Source organism: Homo sapiens, chromosome 9 (assembly GCF_000001405.40).
Source record: "Homo sapiens chromosome 9, GRCh38.p14 Primary Assembly".
In the NCBI taxonomy this organism is placed as follows: domain Eukaryota; kingdom Metazoa; phylum Chordata; class Mammalia; order Primates; family Hominidae; genus Homo; species Homo sapiens.
In genome coordinates, this window is record NC_000009.12 from 68,532,281 (window position 1) to 68,556,655 (window position 24,375).

Sequence of the window (24,375 nt, forward strand, 5' to 3'; positions counted from 1 at the left end):
CTTACTTGAAATCCAAACTTCTCTTGCCGAACTATATGTGTACATCCTCTTGCCTAATTCTCGGGAGAGGAGAGAGGCAGGAAGTCACTGTTCCCCATATGATGTTCTTTATGTTCTTAAAGATGAAGCTCTAGGCTGGGCGTAGTGGCTTACACCTGTTATCCCAGCAATTTGGAAGGCCCAGGTGGGTGGATCACTTGAGGTCAGGAGTTTGAGACCAGCCTGGCCAACATAGTGAAACATTGTCTCTACCAAAAATACAAAAATTAGCCAGACGTGGTGGTGCATGCTTGTAATCCCAGCTACCCAGGAGGCTGAGGCAGGCAAATAGCTTGAACTTAGGAGGTGGAGGTTGCCGTGAGCCAAAATGGAGCAGTGTGCACTCCAGCATGGGCAACAGCAAGACTCTATTAAAAAAAAAAAAAAAAAAAAAAAAGAGCTGTAGCCACTGTAGCCACTGATCTTTGAGAGTAAATGACTTGACCGGGCGCAGTGGCTCGTGCCTGTAATCCCATCACTTTGGGAGGCCGAGGCAGGCGGATCACGAGGTCAGGAGTTTGAGACCAGTCTGGCCAACATAGTGAAACTCTGTCTCTACTAAAAATACAAAAAATTAACTGAGTGTGGTGGTGTGTGCCTGTAATCCCAGCTACTCAGGAGGCTGAGGCAGGAGAATTGCGTGAACTCGGGAGACGGCAGTGAGCCGAGATCATGCCATTGCACTCCAGCCAAGGTGACAATGTGAGACTCCGTCTCAAAAAAAAAAAAAAAAAAAAAAAACAGGAAATGACTTTAAAGGCCCCAAATTTCATGGGAACTGCAAGAGTCAATCAGAGGAAACTATGGATAGAGTGTGGCAACTTCCAGGGCAACTCTGGTGATCTGCTGTTACAGAGGGGTTCACTCATTACAGCACGTGTCTGCAGAAAAATGGCAAGCAACACTATACATCACATGCTGGTTTTCAACCAGGGCGGGTATTTGGAAATGTGTGTGTATTTGCCAGAGAGGCATTTAGTGGCAGTAGTAGGAAACCAAACACGCTAAATATCCTTCCAGGTGTCAGCCAGTCCCCCAGAACAAAAATTTGTTTTGTGTCACCCAGGAATCTTGAGTTTATTCAATGTCCTTGAAAATGGATAGGCAGTCATTATTAAAATGAGATCGTTTGTCAACTTTTACTGATCTAAGTGCAGCATACATCCGCAGTATTTGCGGGACAAATCGTGTTGCATGACGTTATAGGTGGAAGGGCTTGCACGTGGCATGCAGGCTTTCTGCACAGGAAGTCGAAGCTTGATGCACGGTCTCATGGATCAGTGTAAGGCATGGGATTTACTTTGACGTTCAGATGGGTGTAGGGAATTTGAAAAGCACCTGCAGGAGCTGGTAATGACATAACTGTGTGACTCCATTCCATTGCTGGATCATGCACTGGATACTCTCAAAACATGTGGACACTGAAATCCCAGACACATGTCTTAAGGAGCTTCCCATCCCTGAGTGTAGAAGGGTCTGAGAAACGGTGTGCCTTTGGAAATAACGTAACTGCCAGTAAATCAGCCTTTGGCCCTTTGACAGTTACAAACAGCAAGAGATTATCCGAAGCAGCAGAGCTTAGCAGAATGCCTGTTCCACTCCAACCAGCTGGAGTCCTTACTAGAAGAAATAGCTCATGCAGCTGACAGCCCACTTGGTATGTGAGTCAGCCTAGGTTGTCATGGAACCTTGTAGAATTTGGAGAAGATATAGATTATAAGTCCATGTCTTTATCATCTTTCCATGCCTATCTGCACCTAATATGTGCCCTACAATGTAGGTGAGCTAGAGCAATGCCTCACCAAAGACAGTATATTTAAATAGAATCTTAAATGATAGACAGGAGTGTCAGTAAAAGCACTGGTAAGATTTTGCATGGAGGGTCGAAAATGAACACAGTACATCTCAGATATGCAAAAGACACAGTATAACTTAATCTATAATTGAGGATAACTGACCTTATCCTCACCTTCTGGAGTGGTGGTAAGGCCTACTCAAACTTTCTGCTCAAAGGGACATTATGAGATTACAATACTGGAGGGCCTTCAACCCTGAGAACTTCCCTTCCCCATTGACATATGAACCTACCATCCACAGGTGAGAGAAGAGAATGAGCAAAGACTCTTTGTAGTGGGGATTTTTCTCTTTTCACTTTCTTATGCTGCATGTGCTCTCCCTGTCATTCATGGAATTGCTGTTTCCAATCCTTGACCGTAAATTTTATAAGCTTCAGAAGGAAGAGCAGAGGCAGTATCTATTTATCTTGAGTGAATCCTCTAGGGGATGACTACTATATTATTATTATGAACCACAATCGGATATTTTTGTCTGATTTGTCCAGTGGATTTTAATTGCTGGGTCTCTCGAATGTAGAATTTGCTTTGTGTCCTACCCTTGTTCTCGACACATGATTCAGAGTACATATGCAGTCGCTGGAAACTGCTCTGATTCACATTGCCAAGATATTATTTCTGCCTTACATGAAATGTTAAAAAAATGAACAAATAACTACTGGTATTTTATTTTCAAAAAGACACACCCAAGTTATTTTCCAAATCAGCAGTTAGAGTTCAATAATGTTTGGGTTTGCAGAAAGATCAACTCATTCTGACACTGTGTTAGTTTAACCAGAGAATAATACTTTGACTTATGGTCTTTTATTGATTTTTTTTTCTGATGCAAAAAAAAAATGGCAAAAGAGAAATTTAAGTACAAAATTTATTGCGGTAAAGAGATTAAAACTATTTCTTATGTAAACCAAAATCAACATTTGTTTCACTTGACTACCAGTAGTTGGAAAAACTATCTATTACAAATGCAAATTCTGGACAAAAGACCAATGATGGTCCTTGTTCAAGTCAGTAAATGTGCTCAGACCACCAGGGAGAATTTCAGGATAACTGTCTTAGTAGAGAGATAGAAAGAGATGACAAGAGGAATAATAAATTACATTACTAATAAATGATCACTTCCCTATTGGACAACCATGAGTGACCTTCATATCTTTATGCCCTCAATGCCAAGGATTCAAATAACAGATTCCCAAATTCATGCTTCATGGACAAGGATTTCCTTTTATGAAGCTTCTTATGCATTTTTCAGGATATACTTAATCTATGCATTCAGCAATGATGGAGAAGATGAGGCCACAGAGGAGGCTCCATCCCATCTGGACCACCCTCTTCCTCTTTGAAAGATGTACATCCTTCTCACCAACTGTCTAAAGCCCTTCCTGTGCCCATTCACCAAGGGCTATCTCCATTGGGAATCATTCTTCATCATCAATATAATGATCAGGGGGAAACTCTGCTATGAGGCAAGGGACCAGTTTCTAGGCAGAAAACCTGGAGGACATTTTACGTATTTTAAAAGAAGCCGATTAACCCTAAAGCAATCTCTGCCACTTCTCCAAGGGCTTTAAGATATTGCAGCAACCCTGGGGCTCCATTTTCTGTTACAGCCCATTTTCTGAAGGGAGAGAGAAATCCAAACTGTCTCCTAGAAGGAGAGAAGTTAGACAGGGCTACCTAGCTCAAAAGTGTGAAGTCAGTCAGTCCTCCCATGTTCCTCTAGGAACCGTTCTTCACCCTCCTAGAAGTCATTGTGTTATTGGAAAAGTTTCTTAACTTCTCACAATGTCAGTTTTATGCATATGTAAAATGGGAATAATCATAATGCCTGTCTCTTAAAGATGGAATGAGGGCTAACACGCATGGAAAGCTCATGGCACAGAGCCTGCCATATAACAGGCATTCCACAACTGTGAAGCCAGCATGAATGCCTCACTTAATAGAGGAGAAAACTGAGGCCCGGAGAGATGAAGATTCTTGGCCCAAGTTCAAAAGCATCAGGCTGCATCTCTGTCTACCACCCTGCAACCAGACTTGTCCTCTTGTATTTAAAAAAACAATAAAATATAATAAAGTTGAGGAGAAACCATCGGATTTAAAAATGAATGTCCTAAGTCTAAAAGTCAAGATCTGTATCTTGAGACACAAGAAATTTCCTGTTAATGATGAACGTACATCATTAGAGTTTCTTATCTTTCAAATTCTAGAGATTTATATGGGGATTCTTTGAATTACATACAAATATTTTTAACCTTTATAAGATTTATATCAAGTGGTATATTAATACCATCTGTGGCCAGTACAAATTCCACCCTACACCCCGGAATTCCATGTATTATGAATTAAGTATTCTGTCTATTCCATTTGGGTCTATAAGCATTCTTATCATGTCTATTTGTTTAAGGACCTCTTTTAAGAAACAGCTCATTTAATATTTTGTGTTTGAACCATCTTGAAGGCAAATATTACAGTCATTTTCCTTTTACATAGAAAAAATACATATCATGAAAATAAAATAATACAAAATAACATTCATGGGTTCCGAGGGCATATCTCCCAGGATGTGAAGTACTGCCTCACTCTGGTAGTATGGTCAGCTGGAGGTAACTAGGAAACAAGCTAACAAAACAAAAGGCTGAACAATCAATAAATTAAACAACAAACCTTCGCTTTGAGATTACTAGGTGATATAGAACAGGAAGGCATGTGGCTGTCCTGACAACCAGCATCTATTCCTCCCTGGCTGGAGTTGAGGTGATGGGAGGGAAATTGAGTGACAGCAGAAAGAATCTCTGTAAGCAGAGCTCTCAGAGTGACACCTTTGGGGACCCAAGGCCAGCCGGGGTTAAGATTAGTGTGAATGCTCTGAAATGTCTGCTTGGTGTTGGCCACACCCTTCCAGGGCCCCTGGCCTGCCCTGCCCTGGCATGGCCAGTTATGTCTGGAATTCAGGGCTGTCATCCCCTCCCCAAGCTCTCTTGTGGGGTCCCTGGTGTGGCTTTTCCTCCCACAGTCCCTCGTTTGCCTTTATTATCAGTAGCTGCTCCCCACAGTGGTGGCATCATGAGTGCTGGAGAGCTTTCTCTGCCTCAGCACTCTTGGCCTCGCCTCTGGGCGTCCTCTGAGATTGCTGTCACCACCAGGCCGGCTATGGACTCTCTATAAGATGGTGGGGCCTCTGGGTGGGAGTCATTTCCATCCTGGAATTCCAGGCCCGTCTCTGTATATAGAGGTGGAGGAATGCCAGAGGCCTCTCTCTCTGCAGGACAGCTCTGCTTTTCCACCTCAAGGCTCTCTTCATAAGCTGGAGGGTAAAAGTCTGGCCTAGGGGACAAAACAGCATAAACATGCGTGCGTTATTTAGGCATTAATGCCAAAGAGGCAGACGGCTGCCTCTCTCAGCTCAAATTGTGCGAAGCTAAACTGTTAAGAAACATGGATTTTTGAAACAGATGTACTTCTTCCTGGCATCACCAGTTTTTTAAAAATGTGCTGCTCTTCCAAAAGAACCTTTTTATCAGCCACAGGATGCCTGCCTCTAGTCACATTTTTTTCCCAGTGGGTTATGCCAAGCTATTCCTTCTCTATTGCTCATTCACTCATGAAAACAGGGCCATTCAGTGTGAGATCCTTGTCAACATTAGAGGAGGTGGGGGCTTTGGATAGGGAACTTCTCTCTACCGAGTACTTAGTCCATCCACATCCTTGCTCCCTTTCTCGCATGGCATCATCCCCTCAATTGCACTCACTTTCTCTGATCATCACAGCCAACAAAATAATGAATGAAAACCAACTCTGTGCTGATCCCTGAACTATACCAGATGCCATGTCTCTATCCTAACACCCTTTCGAGACTCAGTAGCTAGTTTCAAAGAAAATATACAAACATATTCATTTCTCAAATGATATCAACTGACAACTTTACACAGATTTCAGTTGTAGCCCTTTCTATGCCAGTAGGCTAAAGCAGCCATTCATTCGGGGGCTGATGTACTCATTGGTCATCTTGCCTGGCATTTCTAATTGCTAAATCCTCCTGGCTTCTCCATCATGAATGAATTTGGGGGAAGGGGAGAGGGGAGGAAGAGAGACCGGTGAGCTTGGCTGAGTTGTGTATTTATAGAGTGATCCTTCCAGTGCCTACAGGGAGTGTTTATGGTGTGTAACCACAACAGAACAGGGACTGCCATTTGTAGCCACAACTCCATTCCAAATGTTACCAGGCCCAAAGCCAGTAGCTGAAGAAGCTGTCTACTATAAGGCATAAATCTCAGCCTTCGCTCAGAATAGCCAAGGCTGAGTCACGGGGCACATGTGTAAAGGCATTTTACACAGAAAGGTGAGATGTTCCCTGGAGTGATGTGAAAGGTTCCAGGATGACTGCTGCCTGCCCCAAATCCCAGCTACCTCTCCCAACCCCACCCTCCTTCAACTGCCATCCATATTCCCAGTCCCCTGAATTCCATCATCGGAGACCCATTTGCTTTGATATCTCAACCTGGGTATCCATTTTGAGTGCAAATGCTTTGGAGAAATGTGACTTCCCAGGCTGACTTGCCAGCCATTCTGCGTGGGATAAGCATCTTATTACATGCAGCGAGAAGAGGCAGTAAAATGGGGGTGTTACGATGTCCATAATTTACTTTCAAACATTTCAGTATACTGTAATATTATGCAGTGTTAGTCAATTTAAGCTATATCCTAAAGGCAATCAGTTACATTTATCAGAAATTCACACTCTAGAGGTAGTCCTCTAACATTTATACAAAAAGAAATCATCACTCTAGAGGCATCTTCTACAATCACTTCATTTCTCTTAATTTTTAATCAAACCCAGAAACTCTGCTGGTTAGTATAACATTGGAAATAAGTTTTGGTTTTCATAATTATTATCTTATTAATTAGCATAAAGGATGCCAAAAGTGGATGCTCATGGGTAAGATTACTTATATTCAAGATACATGGAGTAGCTAAAATATTTTAGATACTTTCTACTCTTGCACGAAGAGGGCAAAATAATTATAGTCTTGTAGCCTGTATCTTGAGAATGATGCCTAGGGTGTTATCCCTAAATGGTCCTGTGGCTAGCCAAGAATTAGGAGGTTTCTTGTTGCCTGATACTGACTATAAGATTAACTGAATCTTTTTTTTCTTGTGGTAAAATATATATGACATAAAATTTACTGTTTTTAAGTGTATAGCTCAGTGGCACTAAATACACTCATATTGCTCTACAACCATCACCTTAAAACTCTCTACTCATTAAACAATAGGTCCCCAGTCTCTCCTTCCACCAGCCCCTGGGACCACTGTTCTACTTTCTGTGTCTGTGAATTTGACTACGCTAAGTACTCATGTAAGTGGAATTATACAATATTTGCCCTTTGTAACTGACTTGTTTCACTTAGCATAATGTTTTCAACTTCATCCAAGTGGTGGCATGTGCCAGGATTTCCTTCCTTTTTAAGGCTAATATTCCATTGCATGTATATACCACATTTTGTTTATCTACTCACCTGTTGATGGACATTTGGGCTATTATGAATAAATGTTGCTACAAGCATTGGTGTACAAACATCCATTTGAATCCCTGCTTTCAGTTCCTTTGTGTATAAACTCAGAATGTAGAATTGCCAGATCAAACAGTAATTCAATATTTAATGTATAGAGGAGTCTCCACACTGTTTTCCACAGTGGTTGCACCATTTTAACATTCCCACCAGCAATGCACAGCGTTCCAATTTATTGACATCCTCACCAACACTAGCTGTTTGGTTTTGTTTTTTGATGATAACTATCCTAATGTATGAGATGGCGAGAAAGAATGAATCTTGCCTCTAGAATATTATCACCTTCCCCTGAAGGAATGTTTTATGCAAGGTGAGATCACAACACCTAAAAGGACAGTAAACTGGGACTTTTCTGAGCTCACAGAGATTCCAGGACTCATTTTATGCCTGCTTCTTCATTTGTTGTGTGGCAGAATTTGGTCTGGGACTTGCTTTCCTTAGAACCTCATAGCCAGGTTATGGGAAGTAACTAACCATCACCTGCCACTAATTAATGACAGCTGCCATGATATAACAAAAGAGCCTGGGTTTCTAAATTGGCTTAGGTGGGTTTTCACTGGGGGTGGTGGTAGGGTTTCTCTGAGATGAGTTGCCCCTGCGTCATGGTTTTCCCCAAAGATGGCGCCACTCTTCCTAATAACAACCCCAGAGTAATTCCCTGACAATAAAGCTTTGGTTCTAGACAGACAGCCCATGGGACATGTAAGTCGCTCCATAGTAGGATCAGAAATTACTCAGATCTTACACAACTCAGCCCATCTCAGCCCTTCTTGGTCCCTCTGCCTGTCAGCACGTACCTGTCTACTGTGGCCACGGGCAGGGCCCCATGAGCAAGGTGTTGTCGGAGCATGTGCCTCAACACTCCTTTGCTTTCAGTCACCTGGCGATAGTTGCTCCAGAAAATTCCACTCAGAAGGATCACAAACCCCAGAGGCAGAAGCAAATAGGCCGCAATCAGGCTCCCCTGACAGTCGAATATGGAGCCCCAGGAAATGAAGAAGGCCCCCAGGCAGACCATCAGGAAACCCATCAGGAGGGCAAGAGCACAGAGAATGAGGCCAGTTCTGTTCTGCATCCTTGCACCTTAGGAACCCAGCACCCTGACCCTGCTGCTCCTCTGCTTCCCTGCTTGCTCCAAGAGAATGAGCTCATTAGCCAGCTTGCAGCTTTATATGCTCTGGGACCCACTGGCCTTTGGACAACTAAATGAAACAGGCACTTAGAAGCTATTCATTAACCATTGAAAGTAAGTGTAATATCCTTGGAGAATTAGCCAAAAAACATAGCATTGTATACTGCAGGCAGGAGTGGCTTCGTGTAGCTGTTTTGTTCTTCAGAGTTGGGTGGGACACTCAGCTGTTCCCAGTTATTTGAACGTACAGCCCTCCTTTGATTAAAAGGCGCTGGTCTCTTAATCCCCATGGAGGGCAATTCCCCACTAAAAGCTGGAGAAGTTAGCACTCTTTAAAGAACGATCTTCTTTGAGGTTTGGTAAGAAATCCCTTCCTGATTCCTTCTCCCTTTTTCTGTACTAAAAAGGCATTTCTTCAAGGCTGTTAACATGTTTGTCTTGCCTCCCTCAATGAATCCCCACTTATTGCCCCCACACTATGATACTGGCATAATTCCAAGACAGAAGTTCAGAGTGTGAACTTCGTGGTTCCTGCTCTGTTGACAAGATCGAAAGAGCCTGAGTGGGAGGGAAAGGAGAGTGCTGGAGAAAAGGACTATAATAGACAGAGCCTCGGGAATTTGGGGGGATTTTGGGCCTGTAATTCCTGCAATCTTTCCCCCTTTCATAAAGTACATATGAAATAGAATTCGTTTTAGAGGATGCTGCTAAAAATGTTCCCTGTCCTCTCCTCCACACCTCTGCTCTATGTAGCATTGCCTCAAAAAATCTTTCCAGAACCAGCCTTCTGTTTCCTGGCTGGAATTTGTTTTCTTTAGCTTGACTGTCTTTGATTGTGGATAGCTTATTTCAGACGTGCTTTATGCCCTGGCTCTGCCCTTTTTTATTTGATAATGTGGCATGTCTCTGCCAAAAGTCTCCTTCCCATAGGAACCCTGGGTTGCTTTTACTCAGGATAGCTTATCTTCAGTTCCTCTTTGCTGCTGTTCCACTCCACTACTCCATTACCATTATTTTCCATTTACTTTCCCAATGAGAGCAGCAGTTTTTTGTGGCGTGCCCTAATAATCCCTCATATAACCTTTAGTCTCACACTCACCATCTCCTTAGCTCTACCTTCATGTTAGGGCTGGGAGACACGGATATTAGAGAGGTACACACTATGGATCAAAAACTATATAAGGCACTTCTCCATTCCAACCCTTAGCCTTTACCTTTCTTAGCTTCAATTTCGACCTTGAACTACCTTGATCTTCTAGTCTTGATATTGTCTTTGTAATCTTAAAACAGCTCTTATTCCCTCCTTCCCCAAACTGTGAGATGGAATATTTCTAAGATGATCCCTAAGGATCCCACCTCCTGATATTCATGTCCTTGTGTAAGTAATCCTCTCCCCTGAGTGTAGGCTGGACCTAGTGACTTCATTCTAATCAATAGAATATGGTAACGGTGATCGGAAGTTACTTCCGTGGAGGCTACACAAGATTGTGGTTTTCATCTTTCTAGCAGACTCTCTCTATTGTCCTCTTGGCTTACGCCCTTTGAAGAAGGAAGCTGCCATATTGGAGAGGCCCATGAGGCAAGGAATTGAGGGCAGGTTCTGGCCAACAGTCACTGAAGAACTGAGGCCCTTAGTCCGTCAGCCCATGAGGAACTGCATCCTGTCAATGACCACGTGAGCTTGCAATCAAATCCTCATCCCACTGAGCCTTGAGATGACTCTGCTCCCAAGCATCACCTTGACTCAGTGACCCTGAAGTAGAGGACCCAGGTAAGTCATACTCGGATTCCTGACCCACAGAAACTGTGAGATAAAACGTTTCAGCCAGGGTCCTGGATGCCACAAGATGGCAAGAGCCATAATCAATGAATGCATTATGATCAAATCATTTCATGTTTATGGATGTCACTATTTTAACAAATAAAAGAGGTCAAAAGTTTAAAAAAAGTATATTTTAAAAATATGCTAAGTTTTGTGGCCATTTTTTAGATAGCAGTAGATAACTAAAAAAATTCTCTTAGAACTTTGAAAATCAGAAGAGACAATCAATGTTAAGTATTTATCATAGTACCTGGCACAGAGAGTGCCCTGTGAAGGTTATCTATAATCACCATCACCAATATTGTTATTATCATTGCTGTTACAATTCCAAAAATCTGTGGAAGACCCAGGACCCCCAGCTGAAAGGTCTGCACTAGGAGTTGGGTCCCAGGAACAGGTAGATGGTAAAGCCCCAGGATAATGTTAAGAATCAGGTGATGGAGGAAGAGTACTCTCAATCGGAACTGCCCATCAGACAGTTGGGCTTCTCTGTTTTAGACAAAAATGGAGGCAGAAATTAGACTGGGGATTATGACAGGTCAGGCCTCATTCTTGTGATCACATCAACACATGAGTAAATAAGTTTCTCTATACTTTTTCCTCCTCCATGCCAATAAAGTACACTAGAACCATTGCCTTATAGTTTGTCAGACAGTTCCTTCCCCTCCAGTGCCCTTTGAGGAGGCTCCTGTCATTCCACAGCAGTGTTGTTGTTGTGATGGTGGTGGTGGTATGTTTTTGGTGAGAAATTAGGTATGGAAGAGCAAAATCCAGGAAGTGGCAGGGGGATGGAAGGACTCAGTCCCTTTACATAAAATTTATGTGAAATTAAGAATAGTTCCTGGGCTCAGGGTATTTGAGGAATTTATTTTGGGCATCAAGGGGAAAAGGCTGGGAATATTTGCAGCATCTGTGGGAAGGAGACGAGAAAAGGAAAAAAAATCAATATGGAAATATGAAGTATCACAGGGAACCATATTTCTCCTTCAAAATGACTAAGAAATACTAATGAACACCACACAGTCTATCTGTGTAATAAAACTGTACCTGAAATACCTCCTAAATCTGTACAAATAAAAACAAACAAATTTAAAAGGCAAAAGAGAGAGAAATACTGGTGAAGTTGAGGTTATTTTGTATGTTTATGTTTATTATTAAATATACATTACTAAATAATTATAATTTTTTAAACTGTGACTCTGCTTCAGTTCCTCTTTTTGCCCATCATAAAATTTTATTATGAATAATTAAAACTTTACTCGCTGGTAAGAAATTACCAATGCTTAAAATGGTAATTTTAATTATAAGAAAAATTAGGTTGAAAAGATAGGGTGTTCCCTCGCATTGTCAAATAACATACAATGCCGCAGATAAAAACAGAGATCAGCATCGTTTTTAGGAACTATGCTTCACCCTCAAATTTATTTGTATACCTGGAAATTCAGTTGCCATCATCAAGCTTAGGTTAATTGATTATAAACTGGTTAACACAATTGAGCATCATAGCATCTTGAGACAGTTCTAGTCTGCAAATATAAGCCACCAGTGTACTTTACAGTAATAACACAAAATCAGCATAATACTGTAAGCAAAAGATGCTAAGTTATCATGTGTTATTATGAAGTTATGAAGGTTGTCATTGTTGTGCATACTTTCTTTTTTTCTGAAAATATTTGATCTTTACTTTTTATGTGCTTTGTAATATGTGCTATGAGTGTAGTCATATATATATGGAGATTATATATTAAGCTATATCTATATCAGGGGTATGTGCCCACTCTTTAAACTTTTAAGTTCAGAGGTACATGTGCAGGTTCGTTATATAGGTAAACTTGTGTCGTGGGGGTTTGTTGTACAGATTATTTCATCACCCAGGTATTTAGCCTAGTACCCATTGATTATTTTTCCTGATCCTCTCCCTCCTCCCACCCTCTACCCTCCAATAGGACCCAGTGTCTGTTGGTCCCTTCTTTGTGTCCATGTGTTTTGATCATTTAGCTCCCACTATAAATGGGAACATGCAGTAAATATGTTTTCTGTTCCTGTGTTAGTTTGATGATAATGGCCTCCAGCTCCACCCATATCCGTGCAAAGGACATGATCTTGTTCTTTCTTATGGCTCCATAGTATTCCATGGTGTATATGTACCACATTTTCTTTATCCAGCCTATTATTGATGGGCATTTAGGTTGATTCCATGTCTTTGCTATTGTGAATAGTACTGCAAAGAACATATGTGTGCATGTGTCTTTATGATAGAATGATTTATAGTCCCTTGGGTATATATCCAGTAATGGGATTGCTGGACTGAATGGCGTTTCTGTCTTCAGGTCTTTGAGGAATCACCATATTGTCTTCCGCAATGGCTGAACTAATTTACACTCCCACCAACAGTGTATAAGCATTCCTTTTTCTCCACAACCTTGCCAGTATCTGTTATTTTTGACTTTTAACAATAGCCATTCTGACTGGTGTTAGATCGTATCTCATTGTGGTTTTGATTTGCATTTCTCTAATCATCAGTGATGTTGAGCTTTTTTCATATGATTGTTGGTTGCATGAATGTCTTCTTTCTGCTTCAGTTCTAAACCACATGGATCACTGCTATATAAGCATTATTCCCCTTCTGTGCCTCAAAAATGACCAAGAATCACTAAAACCAATTACTTGTAATTTTAAACAATTTTTATTACTTGCAGTTTCCCTCCTATTTATGTTGCAGTATGCCCTCTTTCCCCACACTCACTAGTAGTAATAACATTTTTGAAAAAAAGAAATGAAAGCAGATGTACACTTGCTTTACTCACAGTGAAACAGCATAGACATGGAGAGAAAGCGTCTTGTTCTTCAGCCATCTTGAAGGTGTAGAAGAAACTCAAGCAGAAGAGCAGTTGTAATAACAGAAGAGAAAATCAGGCCACATTCTCAGGGCTGGGGCAAAATAAAAAGAATGTAAGAAAGAGGCAGTCAAACACTAAGAAGTTGCCTTGAAGAGTCATTTCAGGAGACCTTTGGCCCTTTACCTGAGCTGTATCCTATCTTCTGGATCTGCCTTCTCTCCCATGCCAACTTTTCCATTTTCTCCCCCTTGCCACTACTCAGCACTGATTATGAGAGTAAGGGGCCATTTAAAGGTGGCAACACTGCAGAAGAGAGAGACTGATGATTCACCAAAGTTCACAGACAGTATGAAACTGATGGGAAAATGGATACGCTGGAGGGGTATGGTTCACACCTCTAGAGAGAAAAGTTCTGGGACTCAGTGGAGGCCAAGCCAAAGTCCCCCATCACTGTTTCCATCTCCTTCTCAAGAGATCCACCAAGGAAATGATACCTTGCTTTTAAACTAGTCTATTTGCTTATTATTCTTCCTCTTAAAAATTCACCCATCAGGCCGGGTGCGGTGGCTCATGCCTGTAATCCCAGCACTTTGGGAGGCCGAGATGGGCAGATCACGAGGTCAGGAGATAGAGACCACCCTGGCTAACATGGTGAAACCCCATCTCTACTAAAAATACAAAAAACATTAGCCGGGCGTGGTGGTGGGCACCTGTAGTCCCAGCTACTCAGCAGGCTGAGGCAGGAGAATGGCTTGAACCCGGGAGGCGGAGCTTGCAGTGAGCCAAGATCGCACTACTGCACTCTAGCCTGGGCGACTAAGAGAGACTCCATCTCGAAAAATAAAAAAATAAAAATAAATTAAAAAAAAAATTCACCAATCAGCAGAAGTGTCTGACATAGCAGTAAGCAACAACATGTTATTTGGTTGACAGCCAAATTATCTTAAACCATAATCACTCTTTCAACACTGTTCCTTTGAGCATGACAGATCCATGAGGATTGTTCTGAACACTGAGTGCCTTACCTTGCACATCAGAGCCCCCAAAACCTCACCCTTCTTTCAGTCTCCGGTGCAATACACAAATGCCTTAGAACTTCTCACAGCCCTATGCACTCTAGTTTCTGTTTACCAGGCACATGGGCCAATACCCTTGTTTCGAAAACAGGAAGAGCATTGCTGTGAATGAGAAGTCAGTGGGGACTTTGGAAGGAAACTAATGGTGTGTAGAAGCTGTTGCATAGGAGGGACATGGGGCCAAGAGCTGAGGCAGACTGGCCAGATTTCAGAAGGTCACTTTGGTTTAGGAAGTGAGGCTTTGTGGGAGGCAGGGAAGGGGCGCATAGGCGTAGCAAGAGATGTCAGCCCTGCCTGATTTCACGGTGGTGATTACTGAGTGATTTCTGGATTAGCCTTTCACACTTGAGGGTTCACTGAGCACTGGCCACTTCCTCCTCTTTTCCATTCTTGTTTTCTTTGCTTTTGAAACTGTCCACCCTCCCTCCTCTTCCCCCACTCAGGAGAAGATTTATATGAAGGCTTTTTTTTGGTTGGCAAAGAACAGCTTCTCACAAAGTGCATGGCACAGTAAGGTAAGCTGATGTGAGAGCAGCACGTGAGGCCCCACTCACCCTGGGTGGAACCTAGTGGGTCTCTGGGCCAGGGGACTCTGTGGAGACCAGGACTAGGTGGAACTATGGGGCAGTTGCCTAAAGTGCAAAATTTGTTGGGGGTTATAGGGGGTGGGGAGGGTGGAACTTAGTAATCAAGAAAAATCATATTTTCCAGCAATGTTTTAAAAAATCTAATTGGCAGAATATGGCTCATGGGGCAGCAGCCTGTTTCTGTAAATAAAGTTGTGGTGAGGAAATTTGGTCCTGTCTATTGGCCAAACAGAAAGATAAATTTTGTTCTAGAGGGAGGTCAATTTAATCCACAAATAAGCCAGAACAAATTTAATTTCTTTGGGGATCCTTGGAAAACTGAAAAGACCACACTTCCATGGCCACTTTGGATCAGAGCAGAAGCCTCAAGCCAGGGCAGAATCTGACTGCCTGCATTGACACCACCTGGCATGATGGGCAGGGACTTGTAAATAGGAAGCAGTTTCTGTGCCCACTTTATGAAATTCTCTGTAATATTCTGTTTCCCTTTTCTCCACTTCCTAGTTTTAATACTCTTGAATAACTTAAGTGATAGCAAAATATGTGTTGCTCAAAGATTTAGTAGAACTCCCTCATAAAACCACTGGGTCCAAGACCTTTTTTTCTCTTACTTTTTTTTCCTTGTAATTTTTTATTGACTGCTAGGTACTGTGTGTAGGATAGTAGAGACTGAGATAAACAGTAGATATGCCATGCCTGAACATGGGCACAACTCTGCCATTGCTCACCTCTCGGTGTAGGGAGTTGAGCAAATCTAGTCAAGATTTGGGCTGAGTTTGGGTTTTGTTGTTATTATGGTTCCCTTCAGTGCACTACTGGCTTCAAATTCCTCTGGTATTAACTGGTGCTTGGGGTGAGGGATGGCTTGCTGAAGGGTTTTTTTCAATGTTCCTCCTCTATCCTCAATTTTAGACCTTCACTGAGTACTCGCACCTGAGTGGGGTGGGTCTTCATACTCTTGCCTATTTTTTCAGCAGCAGACTATGCTTATTACCTGATGCTTGCTAGCTGGGTGGTAGGGGGAGGGGGTTTCTCTGTTGTCTTGATCCACCTTAGTCTTATGCAGGCCTTAAGATCCTGGTGTTGGAGACTGGGGCTTTCTCAGTGAACCTACTCTTTCTCCAGCATTAGTTTCCTCTAACAATCTGACCTCAGGATAGTTCCCTGATCCTCCCTTACAGAGGGCTTTTTCTTTTCACTTTTTCCAGCCACATGGGTTTCGCCTGTGCCCTGGGGGAAGGAGGGTTTGCCACCTCCCGACTCTAGCAGCTCAACAGAGTCCAGCTGGGGCTTGACAATTTCCTGCAGCAGCTGGGTGGAGATCCACTGGAGAAGAGCCCAGAAGTGGGTGCAAACCCCCATCGTGTCTACAGCTCCTAGTGTTTCTGTACTCCCACATTAGCCCACATTTGGCATCTAACAATTAGTTAAAAACTTCAGCTGAATTATTCTTACGATCTTGTATGACATTTGTGTCTCTTATACCTGGGCCCTGTCATAGGAGAGCCAGGGCTTGTGTCCCGGCTTCCATTGGAGGCTCCTGTCTTTCCTTAGATTGAAGCTATTCACTTGCCCTGTAACCTCAGCTCCCTGATGGAGTCAAGAAATATTATGATTTTGTAGGTTGTCAGGCATTTTCTGGTTGTTAGATGAGAGCAATACTCTTTCAGGCTTTCTAACTCCTGGGCAGAAGGGGGGATATCCTTGGCATCATTTCTTTATGGTAAACTTCAATTAGTTTTTCAAATTCTCCTAAAGGTTTTAAGGTTATCTCTTCTCCTGAAGTCATTTTTTATAATTTACAATTTCCTAAAAAACATTCCACTTACATGCCTACAAATTCTCTTCACACACACACACACACATAACGTTCACTTATAATATAATATATGGTTATAATATTATATGCAGTATTCAATTATAATTTTAAAGTCTTATCTGATTTTCTAGGTATGTCACCTTTCCAATTCTTAACATTGCTATTTGTGTCTTTATTCCTTTTTGTTTTTTTGATGAGACTAACCATAGCTATTTCATTAGATTTTTCAAAACTACTTGTTCATGTATTGATCTAAGAGTCAGCATTTGGTTTTATAATCATTCAGGCTTTTTTTAAAGAAAGATTTTATTTTGTTTATAAATTTATATTTCATAAGTTTCTGAAGTTATCATCAATAATTCCTCTAGTCTACTTTGAATTTTTTGTCATTTTGGGATAGTGTCTTCAGTAAATCAGGCCTTTTTAAACGATTCTATTAGTTTTATGATTCACCAGTTTTTGCTTTAATCTTTAACAATTTCTTTAGTCTACTTTTAATGACTGTTTTGTCATCCTTTTTGCAGTATGCTTAATTTATCTCCAATCTTGTTTTCAAATAAATATAATTAGTGCCACCCATTTGTGTCACTTTGACCCAAATCACACACATTTTTATATGCCATGCTCTCATTGTCAGTCATTTCCAAATAATAAGTAATTTCACATAATATAAAAATGAGCAAAATATATAAGCATATAAGTGTTTTTAAAAGAAATAGGAAATAGCCCTTAAACAATTAAAATATGTTCAACCCCACTTATAATAAGGAAAGTACTAAAATACAATTTCTTGCCTATCAGATCAGCAAAAATCTCAGTTTGACAACACACTCTGTTGGCAAGGCTGCAGGGCAAAGATACTCATATATTGCAGGTGGGAATACAACAGCTAGCAAACTTACATTTGCATTTTTCTTTCTGACCCAGAAATCACACTTCTGGAAATATATTCCAAAGATACATTGGCAAAAATACAAAATTTTAAATGTGCAGATTTACTTATTGCAGCAGCATTGTTTGTAATTATATAAGACTGGAAACACTCAAATGGCCATGAATAAGGGCCCAGTTGAATAAACTAAGGTACATTCACGTGTCAGAATGCTATTCAGTTATAAAAAGGAATGAGTAACATCTCTATATTACTAGGGTATACTGATAAGATAACAAATCAAATAACAAAGTTTATAGTATAAAAAAGAGGGGATACAAATATGTATGAATATATGTCAATATTTTCAAAAAGAAACAATGAGATTATCAAAGAAAATTAATTTTTATAATGGTTACCTTTAGGAGGGAGGGAACAGGGTAGGAAGGATACAGTTGGAAGACAGATTTATCTGAATGTGTCTTTAAAATAGTTACAAAATTGGAACTATAAGCATATTTTACATAATTAAAAACCAAATTAAATCAAAGCAAAGTAATCCTTAAAATTTTTCTTTAAAAAAGGTAACAAATGAACCTAACTTCTTATCAGTTTGATTGCTTGCCATAAAAAAAGTATTCTAAGTAAATTTAAATTGCGGTATTTTCACTCAGTGGGAAAGACTCTAGTGTAAAACAATACAAAAACAAAATCTACAAATAAATCCTAATATGCATTCAGTAGTCTTATGGATGGTAAGAATATGGGGTATTGTAATCCTAGCATTGTGGGAGGCCAAAGCAGGCAGATCACTTGAGTCCAAGAGATCGAGACCAGCCTGGGCAACATGGCAAAACCCCATCTCTACAAAAAAATACAAAAATCAGCCAGGCATGGTGGCGTGCCTTAGTCCCAGGTACTCAGGGTGGGTACGCTGGGGATGGGCATGCTGAGGGAGGTCAAGTCTGCAATGAGCCATTATCATGCCACTGCACTCCAGCCTGGGCAGCAGAGTCCCCTTCCTTACAAACCCTTTAGGTAGACATAGGAGCTTCTGGAACTCTATTTATCTCTTTGCACTGTGTCCTGGAAGAGTCAGACTCAATATTGCAGCTCACTAATTTAATACTCATTTGCATCCATTTGGATATTCAGCCCGATTTTTAAAGTAGCAGTGATTGTATTTTCAATAATCCAGAAATCCGATTCTTTTTCTATTTTATGGCTGTGACAGTCATCCCAGTGAATGAAGGTTCTGATTATGGGAGCCATAATCCTCTAGAGTTTTGGGGTAGAAGCTGGCAGGTGTTCAGGTAGATGATGTTGATGTGAGGGGGTTTCTCTCCCCAGCATAAGTGGTCTGGGAACTTCTCACATCAGAAGCAGCTAATGGTTTCCTTTTCTTCCCACCGCTCCTCCTGCCACGCCTTGTTGTATATGTAGAATTACTCAACCCTGCTCTGCTTCTCTGTCCAGAGTCAGCCCTTCTGATAGGAAACTCCCCAGGTTCACTGTTTAAAGCAGTTACCGAGGCTTTAACCAGAAAGCAAACACCACTCTTGCCAAAAATGCAGCACGTGAGAGTGATAGGAAGATCATAACAGGCCAGGCAATTCATAATGTAATCTTTCAATTTTATTTTTTATTTTTCTTGAGACAAGGTCTTGCTCTGTCACTCAGGCTGGAGTGCAGTGGCATGGTCACAGCTTACTGCACCCTCAACTTCCCTGGGTTCAAGCAATCCTTCTGCCTCAGCCTCCCAAGTAGCTGGGACCACAGGCGCATACCACCATACCTAGCTAATTTTTTAATTGTGTGTGTGTGTGTGCGTGTGTGTATGTGTGTATGTGTGTGTGTGTTTATAGTAGAGACAGGGTTTCGCCATGTTGCCCAGGCTGGCCTTAAACTTCTGAGCTCAAGTGATCCTCCCACCTCAGCCTCCTAAAGTGCTGGGATTACAGGAATGAGCAACCACGCCTGGCCCATAATGCAATCTTTTAATTTATTGATCAGATAATTACTGACAAGGCCCCTCCCTGCACTGTACGAGTTAACTCTGAGCTTGAAATTTCTCTAGAACATTAGTGCACAAAACAGCCCTGACCTTTGCAGTAATCTCCTTCTGGTCATTTTCTGCTTTGATTTCTTTGTCAATCAATTCTTTGGTCTGTATTCCAGGAAATCTTCAGAATTTCTGATCTTCGACTGTAACTTTTCTTGTTTGGTATTTCAGTGGAATTTGAAGTCGGGGCGGGGGGAGTAGACTGATGTGCTCAGTCTGCCAATTCGATCCCCCATTTTTTTCTGAGTGTATAAGGATATGAGTGGGTATTGTTTACAAAATTAGGATCACGTTGTATACATAATTTTGTATTTTGCTTTTTTAGTATAACAACATGTGTTTTTTGAAAACAGTATTTTCAGTGATTATATTTTGAATGAGTCTTCGCTGTTTATCATACTGAAGTATAATTACTGATATTCTTTTATTTCTTCCACACTAAATAATAAGGTCCTTGAGAAGAGAGAAAATGTCAGCACTGTAGATCCTTAAGACGAATTGAAATTCCTGGCATGTAGTAGTTCCATAAGTCTTCATGATTCAATCTGATTTTTTTTTTTTTTTTCAGTTAAATAGGTGAGGACCAAGGCAGAGACTTAGAGAGGGGATGGATGGGAAAAAAAGGGAGTAAGTTTGACTTGGCAATAGGGGAGGATTAAATCTGCTCATTCCTGTCTTTTGATTTTATTCCCACTTTCCTTGTTTGCTGCTATTACAGAAGCAGAATCCTTAGTTGAATTGGAAAATATGGTTGTTGAGATTTTCCTCCCCCTTATTAGAGCCCTAGAGACAAGAACCTATCTTTGGAACACAATGTTTCTTTCAGCACATGTCACAATGTGTATAAAGTATTTCTGAGGGGATGTGTTTCTAAGTTAAAGGTATTCTAAGAAGTATAAAGATGGTGCTGATCTACCCAAGTTGCTATTTACTGCCTCAGAAAGATGAGTCATGCCCTGCTTATGTTGAGGGACTGAAGTAACGACTTCTCATAGCCAGGAGTATAATCAAGTCGTGAACATCCATAACAGTAACTATAAACTCTTATGGGATTGTGGCATTAGACGGTTAGAAACCTTTGTTTAAGTGTTTTGGGATGACTAGTTCACTGCACTTGAACAAGTGTTGGAAATCCAAATAAAAAGGCAAAACATTATCCTCACATAGATTTATCATCAAGCTCACATTTTTTTTTAATTTTACAAATATAGTTGAGTGTCTCAAAAACAGATGATTCCCATTTTCTAGCCCACAAAAGCTTAAAAATAAATCCTGGGTCTTATTTTTTTCTCTTTCTTTTTTTTTTTTTCAATGCATCTGTTTATTTAATGTGAGTCACTAATGCCTAGCCCAAGAAGAAGCTGAATAATTCATGACCAATATTTTTTTCTCTGAATGAGACTTAGACATAAATTATTGTACCTTCATATACATATATAATGTTCATTATCTTTTTAAAAATCAATAGGGGCCCACATTTTTTAGTTTTTGAAAAATGGGTAGAAGAAGGAAGGAGGGAGAAAATTGCTGCTGATCTATAGGAAAGAATAGCAGGGTATATCTTGGTTTAAACTGAACTATGTACAGTTTCTCGTGTTTTTCACTTTTCACATGGTCCAATATGAAAAATACACCTAAAACAATCATAATAATTATGTACCAAGTACCAACATGTACCAGGCAATTTTACTTTTGCTATCTTTAATTATCACAACAATATTGCAGTGTAGGTAAGTTCCCTTTAAGACTGAAGGATGCTGAGTCCTAAGAGTATCAGTGACCTCCTCGAGGTCATTTAGAGCCACTTTACAAACCCATCCCTACTGGCTCTATGTCCTACACTCTTCACCTTACATCACAATGTCTCTCTGCACAGCTGATTTTAACATTTGCAATTTTACGTAATACATTTACAATTGATGATAAAATTATTAATTGCTACTTCTAATAGATTTGCAAAATATTTTAGATTCACAGTATTTATCAAACACCTGTCATTTACAAGTGTATGAATCAGGATGGGCTAGGATTTGCTTTGTAGCAAACAACCTCATATCTCCATGGTTTTAAATGACAAAAATGTATTCCTTGTTCTCTCACAGAGTCCATCATAGGTCAGCTAAATCTTTGCTCTAAGTTGACCTTTTCTTCACTTTAGGATGCAGCTGAGGGAGTAGCTATTTTCCTAAACACAAATAGTCACAATAGCCAAGAGAACAGATGACACTGAAGGGTCTTGCATTGACAATTAAAATTTTGGCCCACAGGTTTCACACATCGCTTTGTTATAACTCATTAGCAATAACTGGTCACATGTCCCCAACCAACCACAGGGGACCAAGAAGTGTAAATCTACTGTAGGCCCAGAAGATTCAAATAGCTAGAAATATTTGGTGGGCACCATTAATTCTACCTCACCAGGAATGTAACTAAGTGCTGGAGGGAACACAAAGAATGAGTTATGCTCTTTGTCCTTTGAAAACTTACCGTGAGCCATGCAAACAAGCAACCACAATGCAAAGCAGGTAAGAGTGCAACTGTAGTAAAAGCACCATGTTCAAGGAAGACAGAGGAAAGAATGATTAATTTAAAATGGTGAGACTCCAGAATCCTTTGCAGAGAATACTACAGATGCATTCCTAAAGTTTAAAGGGTTTTAAAGCATCAAAAGGTATTTTAGGGAGAAAAGTACTTAAACTAAGGGAACTGCATGAAAGGGTCTGGTGAGTTCAAGGCAAAGATGAGTAGACTGATGGGACAGGACCAGCAGGTAAATGAGACTAGGAATGAAACGAGAGACTGAAAAGTCATCTGGGGACAGAGTATAAAAGTCTGAATGCCACACAAGGAAACAGTGCCCTTTATATTGAAATTGCTACATTTTATTAGAGCTAAATCAGAAATGTTCTTGTCTCAAATTGATTAATGTTTCCATCTTGACACATTTATGTTTTTTTAGAAGAATATATTCTCATGTTAAGTAGAGTAAAATAACAAGATTGTCAGAACAGAGTATCTGGTACATAACAGGTAATCAATAAATATGAATGAATGTATGGGTAGGAAGAAAGTCAAGGAAGGCATTATATATTAATCCTTTCATAATTTATCAAATTCTGAGTATGCACAACTGATTTTTTTAAATAAAGAAAGAGCATATATTACTGAAGAGAACTGGTTGGGTGATGCCTCAGTAAAATGTTATCTAATTCTACATGTTTAATTACTTCTCTTTCTTCCTTTCTTGAGCCTCAGGTATGTGAATGATTTTAACATTCCCTCTTAGGTTTGGTCCTCCCATTCTTTAAGCAAATTTGTTCTTCTCTGAAAATTTCCTAGGCTCTCTGTTTGTCTCTTTAAGCCTCAGAGCCTCAAACACTGGAGAGAACTTGCTGCATGCGAGCTTATTCTAATACTTAATATTTTCTGGGGCCTCAGGGTGAGGGTTGCCTCACAGTCCCTGTGTATAGAAGTTCTAATCTAGAGCATGCAATCTTGTGCACTAAGTAAAAGCAGCTATACTAAAAAATAAAAAAAAAAAATTAAAAACAAGCCAACAAAACCCCAAACCCCACCTAGAGTTGTTAAATACAGAACTTTTCAGCAGCCAAGTGACCCTGTCAGCCCTTAGCTAGAATTTCATGCCTCCCAGGAACAGGGTAATTGAAAGGAACAATGCTGATGGCTTGGGCTAGTCACAGCTGGAAGGTTGCTGCCTTTACACTAAGACTCTGTTCTGCCTCCTTCTGTGGAAAATGAAAGAGGACTTGTTAATGGAGCAAAACCTTGCAAAGCATGTGTGGTGCTGTGGGATTTGTGATGGAAGTACAAGTGGGAGAAGGAATGGACAAACAGCAGGGTGACCTGAGTCAACATAGCAGACACCATGGGCCCCCTTGCCATCTAGGCCAGGGCTTCTCACACATGGCCACATGGATCATTTGGGGAATCTCAAGAAAGTGCAGACTCTGATTCAGCAGGAAGGGGGTAGAACTGGAAATTCTGCAACTCTGACAAGCTTCCACGTGATGCTGATGCTCCCTAGACCACACTTTGAGTAGCAAGGAGTACAGGCAACAGCTTCCCCTTCCCAAGGAAGCTAACTCCTTCCTGTTATGAGAGCCTTAAGGTTCAGGTGTTCACCCTGCCCTATGCTCAGGCAGCATCACCCCTTCCCAGCCCCACAGAGTGAGGACTTTAATCAGCCTGAGCCAAGTGTGGTCATTCCACTCTTTTTGCCAGTTACTGTCTTGGACCTAGTTGTGTGACCAATCTTGGTGAACGAAACAAAAGGGAAGGTTGGTGGGAGCTTTTAGAAAGAGTTTCCTTGGTCTACTGGAGCCCCAGGTAGAGACTTACTGCTTCCTCTGTTTGGAAGTTACCTGGCTATCCTCAGAGCTGTTGTATTCATCTTACAAAATGTAAGGAGAGACCTTGCTGGTCCCTGGGTTCTTTCTGCTCACCTCTCCATTGGAGACTCACTATCTTCTTTCAGGCACCGCCTTCTCTAGTTGACCCTACACAATGGACTTCCTCAGGGGTCTACTTTGGCCCCTTTTTTCTTCTCATTCTGCATTCCCTAAATTAGACGTTTCAAACTATGCATAGCCACTCATTGATGGGTCATTAAATCAATGCGGAAGGTTGTCAGCGGCATTAGGAGAAAGAATAGCATATGATTGAACATCACATATGGCCAGATTAAGA

The 24,375-nt window shown here is 40.8% G+C and overlaps 1 protein-coding gene and 2 long non-coding RNA genes across 3 annotated transcripts in view; 1 reads left to right on the forward strand and 2 right to left on the reverse strand.

Annotated features, from left to right (window-relative positions):
- Positions 1-4,299: 4,299 nt before the first annotated feature.
- On the reverse strand, positions 4,300-8,603 carry TMEM252 (transmembrane protein 252). The gene is made up of 2 exons (NM_153237.2): positions 8,257-8,603; positions 4,300-5,213 (listed from the first exon to the last, which is right to left on the reverse strand). The coding sequence occupies exons 1-2, from the start codon at positions 8,532-8,534 to the stop codon at positions 4,979-4,981; spliced, it is 513 nt and encodes a 170-aa protein (NP_694969.1). The 5' UTR covers positions 8,535-8,603; the 3' UTR covers positions 4,300-4,978.
- Positions 8,604-8,744: 141 nt separating this feature from the next.
- TMEM252-DT (TMEM252 divergent transcript) overlaps positions 8,745-24,375 on the forward strand; it is a 103,426-nt gene continuing 87,795 nt past the window's right edge. The window contains exons 1-2 of the long non-coding RNA NR_187592.1: positions 8,745-8,950; positions 10,098-10,362. This is a non-coding gene — a long non-coding RNA (TMEM252 divergent transcript). The remainder of the gene's footprint in view (positions 8,951-10,097; positions 10,363-24,375) is intronic.
- LINC01506 (long intergenic non-protein coding RNA 1506) lies at positions 11,261-14,322 on the reverse strand. The gene is made up of 4 exons (NR_109769.1): positions 14,279-14,322; positions 13,437-13,556; positions 13,221-13,344; positions 11,261-11,323 (listed from the first exon to the last, which is right to left on the reverse strand). It is a non-coding gene; the product is annotated as a long intergenic non-protein coding RNA 1506 (long non-coding RNA).